We start from the raw sequence: 15,488 nt of genomic DNA, 5'->3' as shown, positions 1-15,488 counted from the left end.
TTTGCTCATGGTTATCTTCCTTTAATAAATTCTTGCCACAAGTGAATTTAGGCTGTTTTTAATTAAGGTCTTAACCAAAAGATCATTTGGAAAACTCTGTCCCTCCCACAAGGCAGGACAAGCTTGTTCTGACCAGCTGTGCAAAGATTTTTCTGCTCAATCATCAAAGCTTGCAATATCCTCTTACAGTCCTGATAAGGTGAGCATCACTTCCAACCTATCTATGAAAAAAGTATCTCTCTCAAACTTCCATCCCAAAATTAACAAAAGTGTGGAGAAGATTCACAGGGAAGCAGTAAACCCAGAGCAGGGGGTGGGGACCACATTTGATAGGAATCTTCATTAACATGATTTTAAGGAGTGATAGGACTTCTCTTTTCACATAATTCCACCAGAATTCATGTTTTCGTGCCATAGACGCCTCCTTTGGCCTCCTGATGAAGTCTATTGGACCCCTTTTCTCAGGCTAGTGCTTTTTTATGTCTTAAAAAAGAAAATATATATATATATGGGATTACAAAGGAAACACTTTGTATTGAAATATAGCTATTCAAAATATTAAAAAGCAATTTATCATACAGTAATCTATGTTCTTCTGTGTTAGTGCGTGAAATAAAAAGATCCAGCAGCAGGTCAAAAATTACTGTAATTTTGAAGTCATGATGAGCATAAACAATATTTCAAGACAGCTGCAACAAGTGTAATGTGATATGAAAATATCTATTTCTATGGGTGACAGTCAAACACACTGCCAGTTCTACTGTGGTTTAGTGCCTACGTTCATACTAGAAGAAAACGCTAAATTTCAGTTAGAGGGTAGTCACACAAAAAAATTAAGTAATATCTAGAATTCTATCCAGGGGCCCACATTAACAACCTGAACCATAGAACTGGTCTGTAATCTCCTTCAGGTCTAATTCATTTGATTCCTGGGATCTAACTAGCATAATGCACGACACAGACAGGCACTTGGCAATTGTGTGAATTGAACTGAGTCCACAGAGTCTGAATTTAAAAACAAAACAAAACATTAGAAAGGGGCTGAGGCTGCCTTGAGTAATCTTCCATGCCCCTTAATCTCAGCGAGTCCACCCACTGCCAGCTTCCTTCAAGTTCTTCATTCATTTAGCAAATATTCACAGAGCACCTAGTGAGCGTCGGGCAACATTGTGGGCACTAGGCAAACAAAAGAGTCTAACTGCAGATGGTGATGAATGTTAATAAAACATGAAAATAGGATAAAGAGTGACTGGCAGACCAGATGGTAGCAAGGGCTTTTCTGAAGTGACAGGTGAGTCAATAGATGACAAGGAGCCAAGGTCATATGAAGATGTGAGGCAAGGCCATTCCAGGCAGATGGGACAGCAAGTGCAAAGGCCCTGAGGCAGGAAGCAGCTTGGTGCAGCCCTTTCTTGCCTTGTGCTCCCTACATTTAACACACCCTGGCCATACCACACCCTGGAAGAGCCTCATCAGACAGTCTACGTGAGGAAACGTCGAACAGGGTCTTCCACAAGACCCTGGAAGAGGCCCTGTTCACCTCTCCCCTAACCTTCCCTCCATCTATCCCATTTTCACATACTCCAGACCACATCCATCTCTCAATCAGAAAATTTCAGGGCAGAAGCTGTTCCATAAATCATCTAATTCAACCCCAGCTGTAATCATCCGACCACACCTTCTGTTACAAGAAACTCAGCCCACTGAAGAAGTACGCTTTCCCTAAACGTAAGGTCTGTGGTCTACACCATATATCTTGTCTCAAACAAACCTAAACGGCTTTCCCCTGATAGATCTAATGGGCTTGTCTTATTTACACTTTGAACTCCTTCAGGTAAGCAGCAGCCTTGCCTTCCCTGTCTTCTCCATGTACAGAGCAGAAGTGAAGACACAGGCTGCGCAGTTAATCTAAAAGGAGGTGGCCAACGAACACCATGGCCTCCATGTTCACAGACCCCCCTCCCCAAGGCCCCAGAGTAGGTGAGTTCTATACAAGATGGAAGAGTTTTTTGAAAACAGCCACAATCTTGAGGCCAATTATGTTGGGGTAGCTTGTATTCTAAATCAGATTTTTCTCCTTCACAGGTGCCTTGGGCTAAACGCCCACCCCCACGTCCCCGTTAAATTCCTATGTTGAAGTCATAACCCCCAGTGCCTCAGAATGTGGCTGTATTTGGAGAATGAACCTTTAAAGAGGTGATTAAGTTGAAAGAGGCCATTGGGGTAAGCCCAAATCCAATCTGAAGGAAAAGACACCCGGTGAGCTTATGACAGAGGGACGACCAGGTGAAGAGGCAGCCATCTTGGAGCCGAGAGCGGCCTCAGAGGAAACCTCCCTGACAACATCTTGGACTTCCAGTCTCCAGATCAGGGAGAGAATAGATTTCTGCTGTTGAAGCCACCCAGTCTGTGGTACTTTCTTATGGCAGCCCTACCAGACTAATGTAATAGGTGTCTAAATTTAGATATTTCCAAAAACAGAGGCTGAGACAAGGAGTTGTGTGCAGGTAGTTTATTGGGAAGTGATCCTAGGAGGAGGGAGAGTGAGGTGGGTGTATTATTGAAGAGTGTGTGTAGAAGGTCATGGCTACAGGTAACAGGGGCTTCATTCTGCTGAGGCCTCCCAAGAAGCATCCAGAATGCCCCCTGGAACTTTTCTAGGAAGTAGGGCCATTTATCCACTGGCTTCCATTCCCACTGGTAGAGGGTGGCCCTGGGGTGTTGACCCCCCTCCGACTCACAGGTTGCAATATGTTCAGTCTGCTCCTAGAGAGACAAAAAAGCAAAAAGCAGTGCTCCTGGCACCTGAGGCAGGACACCGTCAGCAGAAGGCAAATCTCAGCTCACGGGACACTGGGCCATGGGATGCGAGGTGGGAGCAGACGGAGTACTGTATGAAGTCAGCAGATCACCGTTGATGCAGCTGGTTCCTTCTCCAGAAGCAAAAACATCTTTAAGGTCACTGAAGATAGCAAGATTCTGCAATGGACCCATTTGAGGCCACAGAGATGTAATGATAGTGGCATCCAGAGACAGTTGCATTCCTCCCACCGGGTAGATTCAGGTGTCAGCTGATGACGAGAAGTGTTGAGGAATACCGTGTCTCCGGCATGCTCATTTTCAGCACACTCTTGTGAATTCTGTGTTTTAAGTGAGAATTTTGGTTGGGCCTTTTTGCTATTTTCCAAAGATAATCTAATTCTTTTTTTTCTTTTTCTTGAGACAGAGTCTCTCTTGGTTGCCCAGGGTGGACTGCAGTGGCGCCATCTTGGCCCACTGCAACCTCCATCTCCTGGGTTCAAGTGATTCTCCTGCCTCAGCCTCCCAAGTAGCTGGGATGACAGGTGTGCGCCACCATGCCCAACTAATTTTTGTATTTTTATTACAGATGGGGTTTTGCCATGTTGACCAGGCTGGTCTCAAACTCCTGACCTCAGGTGATCTGCCTGCTTTAGCCAAAAATAACCCAATTCTTTTATAATCAACATGTCCCTCTATTGCAACAGGCCCTCAACTCTGAAGTGAATCCTACTGCTTATGAAAAGAAGAAAGAGTAAAATCACCTCACTTAAGTTCTAGGTAATCTCTAGAAGCCAACCCATAAAAAGGATTTTTCTCTCCCATCCAAGTTTCCCCTCTGGAATTGAGGTGTTATGTCAAATATGGTACTTCTGAATGTCACGTGAACAACTAACTCCAGTTTATTCAAGCTACCCTTTAAGACCAATAAATGTGCTTATGGGACAAATTTTCTAAATTCCCTTCAGAAATTTATTTCCTTCTCTTTGGCAAATAACTATACGAGATTTATTACTTAATACTTTGTAAAGTAAAACATCCAAGATAAAGTTATGCAGGGAGATGTCAGACGTGAGTGGTATTTCCTGGTATTTTCCAATTATCCTGAGTCCTATCTTTAGAGTTATCAGATTTAGCAAATAAAAATACAGAGCATTAAGTAAGTTAAATTAGAATTTCAAACAAACAACAAATTTAAAAAATATCTATATCCCCAATATTGCATGGGACCTACTTATACTAAAAAAGTTATTTGTTGTTTATCTGAAATTCAAATTGAACTTGGCATCGTGTATTTTATCTGGTAACCCTATCATAATATTCCAGAATGGAAAAATAGCAAATTTAGAATTTAAAAGTAGAATTTATATTTAAAATATAACCTCCTATTTTAACTTTGATTAACTACAGCAGAATACTCAAAGCATGATTAGTTAGAACAAGCTGCCATTTTAACAGAGAGGATTCATTTTAGAACTGATGGCTCATTATAACTAGGGTGGTTCAATTTGAAAGGAAAAAAATAGGGCATTTTATTTAATATTTAATAAAATATTAAAATTCCCCCAGGAATCAATGTGTAAGAACAAAAAAACCATCTATTATTATTTGCATAAAAAAGAGCAATTAAAATGTAGTAAGCACACATTTTATTTGTGTAACTTGCCACTGTTTAGTGCTTACAGAAGATAAAACATCAATGTGGGTTAAGATACTGAAAAAAAAAACACACAAGAAAGTGGTTGGAAAAAAATTGGATTGGGTCTCAAAATTGTACATATCTCAAACTATGCAGAACAGAAACAGTTTCCTCTCCAACTTTGTCCTTCTCTTAGTTTGAGAAATGGTCCTAGACTTTCCGGAAAAAATACGGTAGTCTCTCCTCATCCTCCGAGGATACATTCCAAGACCCCTACTGCAGGCCTGAAACCTCAGATAGTACCAAACCCTATACATACTGTTTTTTCCTATACAGTAAGGAATGAGGGTTGGGGAATAGTGTAACATAGTGCGAATACACCGGACAAAGGGGATGACTCAAGTCCCAGGTGGTATTTAATGATGCTACTCAGAACCGAGTGCAATTTAAAACTTATGAATTGTTTATTTCTGGAATTTTTCATGTAATATTTTTGGACCTTAGGTAACTGAAAGCACGAAAAGCAACACCGTGGATAAGGGGGACAACGAATATACCCTTGTTTGAGATGGCTTATATGACACTGTAGCTGGGGACAAAGAATGCCTGTGATAGGCAAAGAATTATCTGAGAGCAAGACTTGTTAACCTTGGCACTAGTGACATTTTGGGCTGGATAATTCTTTGTTGTGGGGAGGCTGTCACATATGTTATAGTATGTTTAACAGTATCCCTGGCCTCTACGCACTAGATGCCAATAGCATCTCCCACTCCCAGTTACGAAAATCAAAAATGTCTCCAGACATTGCCAAAGGTCACATGAGGGGCAGAACATTCCCCAGTTGAGAACCACTGGTCTACGAGAACCTCTGGTGTTTTGGCTCTGCCCTGGCAATGACAGTCTTGAGTTCCCAGAAATTTCTAAAAATATCATTGTAGGGCAGCTTAGAATAACAAAAGGGGGAAAAAAAGCTGCAACGAAATTTGCACCAAATCCATGTTGACCAAAATTCTTCTAAATATATTTACGGAACAATTAAAATAGATTTATCTACCTAAAGATGCCCCTAACTCTTTATATGTGGAAGTTGTGTACTAATCCAAGATTTAGGCAAGAGACCTGTTTTCAGCACCAACTCTAATCTTTGCTTAGCACGTATCAGAGGGCTAACCTTTCTGACCCTGTCTACATTCCCAACATTGGTTCTCATTCAGCCGCTCCCTTCCCAGTCAACCCTGAGAGGTAAGTCATTAACCGTCCCATGTTAGATGAGGAAGCTTGGGGGCTGGGCGTGGTGGCTCACGTCTGTAATCCCAGCACTTTGGGAGGCCGAGGCAGGTGGATCACTTGAGGTCAAGAGTTCGAGACCAGCCTGGCCAGTATGGTGAAATCCCGTCTCTACTAAAAATACAAAAATTAGCCAGGCATGGTGGCATATGCCTATAATCCCACTACTTGGGAGGCTGAGGCAGGAAAATCGCTTGAATCCGGGAAGCAGAGGTTGCAGTGAGCCAAGATCGCACCATTGCACTCCAGCCTAGGTGTCACAGCAAGAATCCATCTCAAAAAATAAAAAAAAATAAAAAATAAAAGAGGAAGTTTGGGTCTAGAAAAGAGAAATGACTGCCTGAGTTCCCGCAGCTGGTGAGATTTTAAACTCCAAAGTCCAAGCCCTTAACCACCTCCCTCACCTTGGGAGAAAAGAAAATCACTAAATGTCTGTGACCTTAGTTTCATTTCCTCGCCTCTAACTTAGAAATAAACATTTCAGTACTTCAGAGTCCCTGCGAGAGCTTCAAGGCAGTTCACTGAATCGTTGCAGGAGAGGGACCAAAGTCCCTTGGTGAACAGCGGTGTTCACCGAGGCCTGCTGTGCTGGGCAGCACCCATCTCAAAGGCCAGAAGAACCAAACCCTAACTCAGAGATCTGCTTCAGAATTTAAATGAACTGCTGCCAACTCACTTGGAAAGAGCACTATCAGAGATGCAAATGTAAATAGTAAATATCATCAAGGAGCTCCTAGGACTTCGAAAAGAGGAGATGCATGGCATGGAAGGTGTGTGGCAGGTGTCAGGAAGGCCAACTTCCACAGTGACATTCTCTCCAAGTCACCTCAAATGGTAGTCCAAATGTATGCCGGCAGAATGGGCAGTCACTTCGGCAGCAAAACCTCCCTGAGGTCCCCAAGAATTCAATGGCCACAGTGAGTCTCTGTGGCTTAGTGGACAGTCACAGAAGGTCTGAGCAGAAGGGGGCCTTAGAAATCACTTTTATTTGACAAATGAGAAACTGGAGCCCTGAGGTGAAAAGAATTGATCCCACCCAACCTGCCAGGTCCCTGGTGCCTGACTACACTGCAAACCCCAATGTAACCCCTGCCCTGGCCGACCCTTCTTCCCTAAGCAGATTTTGCAGGAGTAGTTTCAGGACCATATTATTGTTCTGAACTTCTAAGAGGAAAGGGCCAAATACAAAGTGTTTGGTTAACTCAGTCAATGGAGCATAAATGAGATGTTTAAATCTTTGAGTTACAAAGCCTCATTAGGGTAAGAAGGCGCTGTAGGAGTGGACATAGGGAGGGTTTGTGATTCCCATTATATGATAAGAAATGCTATTAGGCTGGAATCAGTTCGATATGCCCAGGGAAGGCAGGCAGGAGTGGTAGTGAACATTTGTCTTCTTATTATATATGCAAAAACCCCAGCTAACATTGTACCTTATGCAGAACTTTTCATTCTCAGTCACTTTTACACATATATTACCCCATTTTCTTCCCCCAGCATCACAGTGGAGAAGGTATGGATAGGTGGTTTGGGGTGCCAATAAACCATAGACTATTTGAAGAAAAAAAATGTCTCACCCATAGTTTCATGGAGCCACATTTAGATTCTAGGTCTAATTTCAACAGATATCAGCACAGTGGAGCTACAGTTACAGTGGACAGATCATTTGTCAAGAATGGAAAAAGCCAGGATGCCAGGGCAGTTGTATTGGGGGGGATGGGAAGGAAGAAGTGAAAGTCTATTTTAAAAGAAATGTAGAGAAAAACTGCTAACAGAGCAGGCAGAGTTCAAGTTTAAGCCCTGGGCATGAGGGAAAGCCCAGTCAGCTGAGGCCATGCCAACACTTCAGGGTTACAAGCACCACTGGTCACCAACAGCACAGCCCTGGAAGGCCCATGTGTGGCCACGATCCCACAATGACACTAGGTGGAGATCAGGCAGATACCACCAACAGAGAGGCTGGGAATGGAATAAGATATTTCAGCCATAACTGCAGACGTGAAAAACAAGATTGGGGCGGCAAGTGCTAAATAAATCACAAAATAATTATTCATTTACCTCTCAGTCTGGAAGTAAACCTATGCTTTCACAAAATTAAGAGTGCAATCATGCAGTAAAAACAAGAAATCTTTGATTAGGTGCCTTCTATTGTGTAATACAAAATTGGATAATGTAGACCAAAAAACAATAAATGAATGACAAAGCAAAACTATATATTTTTATAAAAGACACTAAGATTTAATTCCCCTATACTTACACCAGTAATTGTTGAAGAAAAGGTAAATTAAAGGACTCAGGATATGAAAACAAACTTGATCCCCACCACCACTGCCAATTAATTACATGCACATGAGAAATTCACTAAGCAGCTAATCATTTATATTCTGGTGTAGTATTTCCGCACAACTATTGTATTAGATATTTAAATTTGCAATTTCAAATGGACTCATTGTCACAGGCCTCTTAGTCCATTTTACACACAAAATCAATACACTATTCCTAATAAATGAGATTACTTTTCCAAAACTCCCAGTGGGAGCTCAACAGGACTTCTGTTTGGGAGGCTGCTTCAAACTTCTCCAAAGAAAATTACTTTTCTGATGTTCACCTCTAAGAACCAACAGAAGGCACCTGAGAGAATTCAAATGAAGAAGCAACCACCTCGGGGGAAGGGAGGGCTCAAACTGTTAGGTAATTTAGACACATGAATGTCCCAGTTTAAATGCCACTCTATAGCAAAGCATTTCTGGATCCACCTGAGACCTCTGTTCCTCCACTAGAGAGCTAAGACACGTTGTTGCATTTTCTTCTAAAAGGTAGAAGGGGCCGGGCGCAGTGGCTCACGCCTGTAATCCCAGCACTTTGGGAGGCCGAGGCGGGGCGGGCGGGCAGATCACCTAGGGTCAGGAGTTCAAGACCAGCCTGGCCGACATGGTGAAACCCCGTCTCTACTAAAAATACAAAAATTAGCCAGGCATTGTGGCGTACGCCTGTAGTCCTGGCTACTCAGGCGGCTGAGGCAGAAGAATCGGTTGAACCCAGGAGGCAGAGTTTGCAGTGAGCCAAGATCGTGCCACTGCACTCCAGCCTGGGTGACAGAGCGAGACTTTGTCTCAAAAAAAAAAAAAAAAAAAGTAGAAGGTTCCTGGGGTTGTGCGCACAGCTCCTCCCAGCCTACTGCCCCATTCTGAATGTCCAGGGCTGTGTATTCCTCACCTTTGTATTCCAAACCACAGACCCAACTCTAGAAAAGAGCCGAGGAAGGGTTACAGTGTCTGGCATTAAAAAAAAGCACTGGGTAAATAATTTCTCTCCCCACTCACTTAAACTTTAGCCTGTGGTCCCAACTTGACTTGTATCCTAAATCTGAACAAATACCCTTGGCAAAGCCAAATTTTTCAACTCTTGCTGCCCCAATGGATAAATCCTTTAGAGAGATCTTGCTAGGTCTTCCCTTCATGCAATAAACACTCTACTCTGTAAAAGCCACTGACCGCCCTGCAGGACATGGAGAAACACCTGATAACCCGCCCTAGACAATGGCCTGCCCTCGTCATGTGAGAAAACCCCACGTGTCTGGGTTGCATAATGGTTAAGAGAGGTTTCGAAATTTCCTGGACTTGGTCTGGAACCCTGGTTCTGCCAATGTCCAGAAATGCAGCCTTGGACAAACTGCTTCATCACTGAGCCTCACTTTCCTCATCTACAGATGAGGATATTGGCACCAACTCTCAAGGTTTGTTGTATCAGATGAAAGAAAAAATGTAAACAGCTTACTGCTATTCCCAGTGCAGTAGACTATCTAATAAGTGCAGAGAGTTTTTTTTCTTATAACCCTAAACTCACAGTGGATGGGGGAGAAGAAGCTCAATTTGTAAAAATGCAAGTAAGCATGAACATAAAAACTGTAATTTTAATGAAAAAAAAAAGTATGTAACAGGAAGCAGATTTTCCTTATCTATAGCAAATCATATCACAAAGCTACTGTATTCAAAACAGTGTGCTGCTTCTTTACAAAGGGATAAAGGTATCAATGGAGCAGAGTAGAAAGTTCAGAGACAGAACAACACAGACACACATGCACACAGCACATACATGCATGTATGCATGTACACACACACACACACACACACACACATACACACACTCTCTCTGTGTCTCTCTGAGAAAAGGGCATTTCAAGTGCATGCGTGGGGAAAGCGGAACCATCCAATAAATGGCACTAGTTTAACTGGCTATTCGTTTAGGAAAAATAAAGTCACACCTTTAAAACACACACACACACACACACACACACACACACACACACACCCTTCCACTGAGGTTAAAGATCAAAATAATAAAATTATGAAGCCAGGAGAAAAAATATATAGAATATTGTTATGGTTTGCAGATTAGGAAAGGCCTTCCCAAAGCAAGCCACCAAACTCAAACTGTAAAAGCTGTAATTTCGGCTGTGTGCAGTGGCTCACACCTGTAATCCCAGCACTTTGGGAGGCCGAGGTGGGTGGATCACCTGAGGTCAGGAGTTCGAGACCAGCCTGACCAACATGGTGAAACCCCATCTCTACTAACAATACAAAAAATTAGCCGGGCATGGTGGCAGGTACCTGTAATCCCAGCTACTCGGGAGGCTGAGGCAGGAGAATCGGTTGAACTCGGGAGGCAGAGGTTGCAGTGAGCCAAGATCAGGCCATTGCACTCCAGCCTGGGCAACAAGAGCGAAACTCTGTCTCAAAAAAAGCACTGTAATGGCCGGGTGTGGTGGCTCACACCTGTAATCCCAGCACTTTGGGAGGCCGAGGCAGGCAGATCACGACGTGAGGAGTTCGAGACCAGCCTGGCCAACATGGCAAAACCCTGTCTCTACTAAAAATACAAAAATTAGCTGGGTGTGGTGGTGGGCGCCTGTAATCCCAGTTACTTGGGAGGCTGAGGCAGGAGAATCGGTTGAACCCAGGAGGCAGAGGTTGCAGTGAGCCGAGATCGTGCCATTGCACTCCAACCTGGGCGACAAGAGCAAGACTTGGTCTCAAAAAAAAAGCACTGTAATGTCACATGTAGTCATCTGCCAAACAATGATGCTTTCAGTCGACAGCAGACTGTATATATTCCAGTGGTCCCATAAGATTATAAGACTGTATTTTTACTATACTGTTGCTATGTTTGGATACATACCACTGTGTTTAAGTTGCCTACAGTATTCAGCCCAGTAACATACAGTACAGGTTTGTAGCCTAGGAGCAAGAGGCTAGACCATAGAACCTTGGGGTATAGTAGGCTATACCATGAGGTTTGTGTAAGTACTCTCTATGATGTCTGCAAAATGATGAAATTTCCTAATGACACATTTCTCAGACTATATCCCCATCGTTAAGTGACACATGACATTATAAAAACTAAATAAACATATGTAGAAAGAAATACATCATAGAAAAATCAAAAGAAACATAATAGGCTTGGGCAAAACAATACAGGGATACCACATTTCATTGTGCTCCACGGATACTGCAGTGTTTTACAAACTGAAGGTTTGTGACAACCCTGCATCAAGCTAGTCTATCAGCACCATTTTTCCAACAGTGCTTACTACATATCTCTGTCAAATTTTGGTAATTCTCGTAATATTTCAAACTTTTTCATTACTATTATGTCTGTTGTGGTGATCCGTGATCAGTGATCTTTGATGTCACTATTGCAATTACTAATGTCACTAAATAATGTTTAGTAACAATATATAATGGCAAACTTAATTGATAGCCATTGTGCGTGTTCTGAATGCTCCACCTTCCAGCTGTACCCTGTCTCTTACCCTCTTCTCGGGCCTCCCTATTCCTTAAGAAACAAGAATACTGAAATTAGGCTAATTAGTAATCCCACAATGGTCTCTTAAGTGTTCAGGTGAAAGGAAGAATCACACATCCCTCCCTCTAAATCAAAAGCTAGAAATTATTAAGCTTGGTGAGGAAATGTACGTCAAAACCTGAAATAGGCAAAAAACTAGGCCACTTGTGCCAAATAGTTAGCCAGGTTGTGAATGTGAAGGGAAAGGTCTTGAAGGACATTAAACATGGTACTCCATGAACACACAAATGACACGAGAACAAAACAGCCTTATTACTGATATGGAGAAAGTTTGAGTGGTCTGGATAGAAGATCAAACCAGCCACAACATTCCCTTAAGCCAAAGCCTAATCCAGAGCAAGGCCCTAAATCTCATCAGCTCTTTTGACGGCTGACAGGTGAGGAAGCTGCAGAGGTTGGAAGGTAGCAGAAGTTGGTTCACGACCTTTAAGGAAAGAAGCCTTCTCCATATCATAAAAGTGCAACGCGAAGCAGCAAGTGCTGACATAGAAACAGCAGCAAGTTATTCAGAAGATCTAGCTAAGATCACTCATGAAAGTGGCTACCCTAAACAACAGATCTTCAATGTAGATGAAACAGCTTTCTATTGGAAGATGATACCACTTAGTACTTGCATAGCTAGAGAGGAGAAGTCAATATCTGGCTTCAAAGCATCAAAAGACAGGCTGACTCTTTGGTTAGGGGCTAATGCAATTGGTGACATTAAGTTGAAGCCAATGATCGTTTACCATTTCAAAAACCCTAGGGCCCTTAAGAACTATGCTAGATCGCCGAGCGCGGTGGCACATGCCTGTAGTCCCAGCTACTCAGGAGGCTGAGGTGGGAGGATAGCTTGAGCCCAGGAGTTCTGGGCTGTAGTGCGCTATGCCGATCGGGTGTCCGCACTAAGTTCGGCATCAATATGGCGACCTCCTGGGAGTGGGGGACCACCAGGTTGCCTAAGGAGGGGTGAACCAGCCCAGGTCAGAAAAAAGAACTATGTTAAATCTACTCTGTGATCTATCAGTGAAGTAATAAAGCTTGAATGACAGCACATCTGTTTACAGCATGGTTTACTGACTATTTTAAGCCCATTGTTGATAACTACTGCTCAGAAAAAAAGATTCCTTTCACAATATTACCACTCATTGACAATAGACCTGGTCACACAAAAACTCTGATGGAGATGTACAAGGAGATTAATGTTTTCATGGCTGGTAACACAACATCCATTCTGCAGCCCATAAATCAAGGAGTAATTTTGAATTTCTAGTCTTATTATTTAAGAAGTACATTTTGTAAGGTTATAGCTGCCATAAATAGTGATTCCTCCAAAGGATCTGGATAAAGTAAATTACAAACTTTCTGGAAAGGAGTCTCCATTCTAGATGCCAATATCAACACTCATGGTTAATGGGAGGAAGCCAAAATATCAATATTAACAGAAGTTCGGAAGAAGTTGATCCCAACCCTTATGGATGACAGGGGTTCAAGACTTAGTGGAGAAACTGCCGATGTGGTGGAAGTAGCAAGAGAACTAGAATGAAAATGGAGCGTTAATAGGTGATTGAACTGCTACAATCTCATGTTCAAACTTGAATAGATGAGGAGTTGCTTCTTACGGATAAGCAAATAAAGCGATTTCTTGAGATGGAAGATGACTGTGAACAATGTTGAAATGACAACAAAGGATTTGGGATATTGCATAAATTTAGTTGATAAAGCAGCAGGACAGTTTGGGAAGGATTACTCTGATTTTGAAAGAAGGTCTAGTGTGGGAAAAATGCTATCAAATAGTATCACATACTACAGAGAAATCTTTTATGAAAGGAAGAGTCAATCAATGTGGAAAACTTGATTTTTTCTTATGTGAAGAAATTGCCACAGCTGCCCCAGCATTCAATGACTTCTTCCCTAAACAGCAACAGTCTTCAGTGTGAAGGCAAAACCCTCCACCAGCAAAAAGATGACTCGCTGAAGGCTCAGGGGATTGTTGGCATTTTGTAGCAATATAGTATTTTTAAGTTAAGAATATGTACGTTGGTTTTTGATATAATGCTGTTGCCCACTGAATAGACTACAGTACAGTGTAAACTTTATATGCACTGGGAAACCAAAGACTCCATATGACTTGCTTTATTGTGACATTTGCTTTATTGCTGTGCTCTGGAATCAGACCTGCAATATCTCTGAGGTATGCCTGTATTTACTATACACACACACACACACACACACACACCAGAGAAAGCCCATTATCTATAGTTCATTAAAAGTTCCAATAATTCAGTAAGAAAACTATAAATAGCCTTGGGCACAAAAATGATAAAGAATTCAAAGAGGCTACTCACAGAAATGCAAATTAGGGCAGATACTTAAATTTACTAATTCGTCTTTTTCATCATCTGTAAAATGTGGACAATAATCACACCCACTTTATAGAGATGTTAAGGTTTAAATTAGTGATTTCATATAACGTGCTTAAAACTATCCCTGACACATAAAAACATTCAATAAACATTAGTCAGTAGCAGTAATAGTAGCGGTGGTGGTGGTAGCAGCAGCAATAATTTAAAAAACATACAAGTAAAATAAGGAGGCAGGCTGGGCAACATGGTAAAACCTCATCTCTACAAAAAATACAAAAAGTAGCCGGGTGTGATGGCATGCGCCACTAGTCCCAGCTACTCAGTAGGCTGAGGAGGAAGAATCACTTGAGCCCGGGAAGCAGAGGTCGCAGAGAGCCAAGACTGCACCACTGCACTCCAGCCTGGGCAACAGAATGAGACTCTGTCTCAATAAATAAATAAAAATTGGCTGGGCACAGTAGCTTGCGCCTGTAATCCCAGCACTTTGGGAGGCTGAGGCGGGCAGATTGACTGAGCTCAAGAGTTTGAGACCAGCCTGGGCAACACGGTGAAACCCCAACTCTACTAAAATATGAAAAAAGTAGCCAGCCATGGTGGCGTGCGCCTGTAGTCCAGCTACTGGGGAGGCTGAGGCAGGAGAATTGCTTGAACACCTGGGAAATGGAGGTTGCAGTGAGCCCAGATCATGCCACTGCACTCCAGCCTGGGCAACAGAGCAAGACTCCATCTCAAAATAAGTAAGTAAGTAAGTAAGTAAATAAATAAATAAATAAATAAATAAAAGGAGGTACTATCTAGCATGAGCAGCAACTGCAAAAAGACTAATGTTACCTAGTGTTGGAAAAAGTATGAGAAAACAGGCAACTCTCTACACTTGTGGTGGGAATATAAATTTGTTCAGCCTTTTTGGAGGGTAATTTGGACCTATCTAATCTATCAGCATTTTAATATACATGCCCTGTGATATAAAAATTCAACGCTTAGAAATGCAGCCTACAGAAATACACACAAGCACAAAAACTTATGTACATAGATATCCAATGTAGCACTGTTCATAATAGCAATAGTTAAAATGAAAAATGACAGAAATGACCATCAAATGGGAATAACTAAACACATTCTGGCATATCTATATAACGAGTGGCAGCGCAGCTATTACAAAGAATAATGAGCAACAATATATACAGATAGGGAATTACGTCTCTGGAAATACTAAGCAAAAGGGCAAGCCACGATGTGCACTTTTGTATTTTTGAATCATTTTTACTTTTATATAAATAAAATATAGATTTGCAAATGATTATAAAAAGGAAAGGCCAAGCTGTGATTGTGGTTATCTCTGGGAAGGAAGCAAGATCAAGAGGGAATGAAGAAAGTATTTTCATTTTCACTCCACTTCCTTATATATTTTTTATTTTAAAAAAATAATAAGCAGGTACTAAAAACAAGTATTTTCTTACAAAAAAAAAAAGGTAACAAACAAATTCAGTGTTTCACACCAGAGTCATGGAACTGGACACCTGGGTGGGTGAATGACAGTGTCCATATGCTCCATA

General features: G+C 41.9%; 1 protein-coding gene and 1 pseudogene across 6 annotated transcripts in view, besides 1 other annotated feature; one reads left to right on the top strand and one right to left on the bottom strand.

Moving 5' to 3' along the window:
* Positions 1-15,488, bottom strand: part of E2F3 (E2F transcription factor 3) — a 91,836-nt gene that overhangs the window by 59,471 nt on the left and 16,877 nt on the right. The gene's annotated exons all lie outside the window — the stretch shown is intronic.
* Positions 6,366-6,435: an enhancer, noted in NCBI's record as "active region_24129". NCBI's record gives its function as "activates an Ori minimal core promoter by ATAC-STARR-seq in GM12878 lymphoblastoid cells {active_cell/tissue: GM12878}" and the evidence as "EXISTENCE:reporter gene assay evidence [ECO:0000049][PMID:35858748]".
* On the top strand, positions 12,357-12,587 carry RN7SL128P (RNA, 7SL, cytoplasmic 128, pseudogene; annotated as a pseudogene).

Source organism: Homo sapiens, chromosome 6 (assembly GCF_000001405.40).
Source record: "Homo sapiens chromosome 6, GRCh38.p14 Primary Assembly".
NCBI lineage: Eukaryota > Metazoa > Chordata > Mammalia > Primates > Hominidae > Homo > Homo sapiens.
This window is presented reverse-complemented; position numbering and strand designations above follow the sequence as displayed.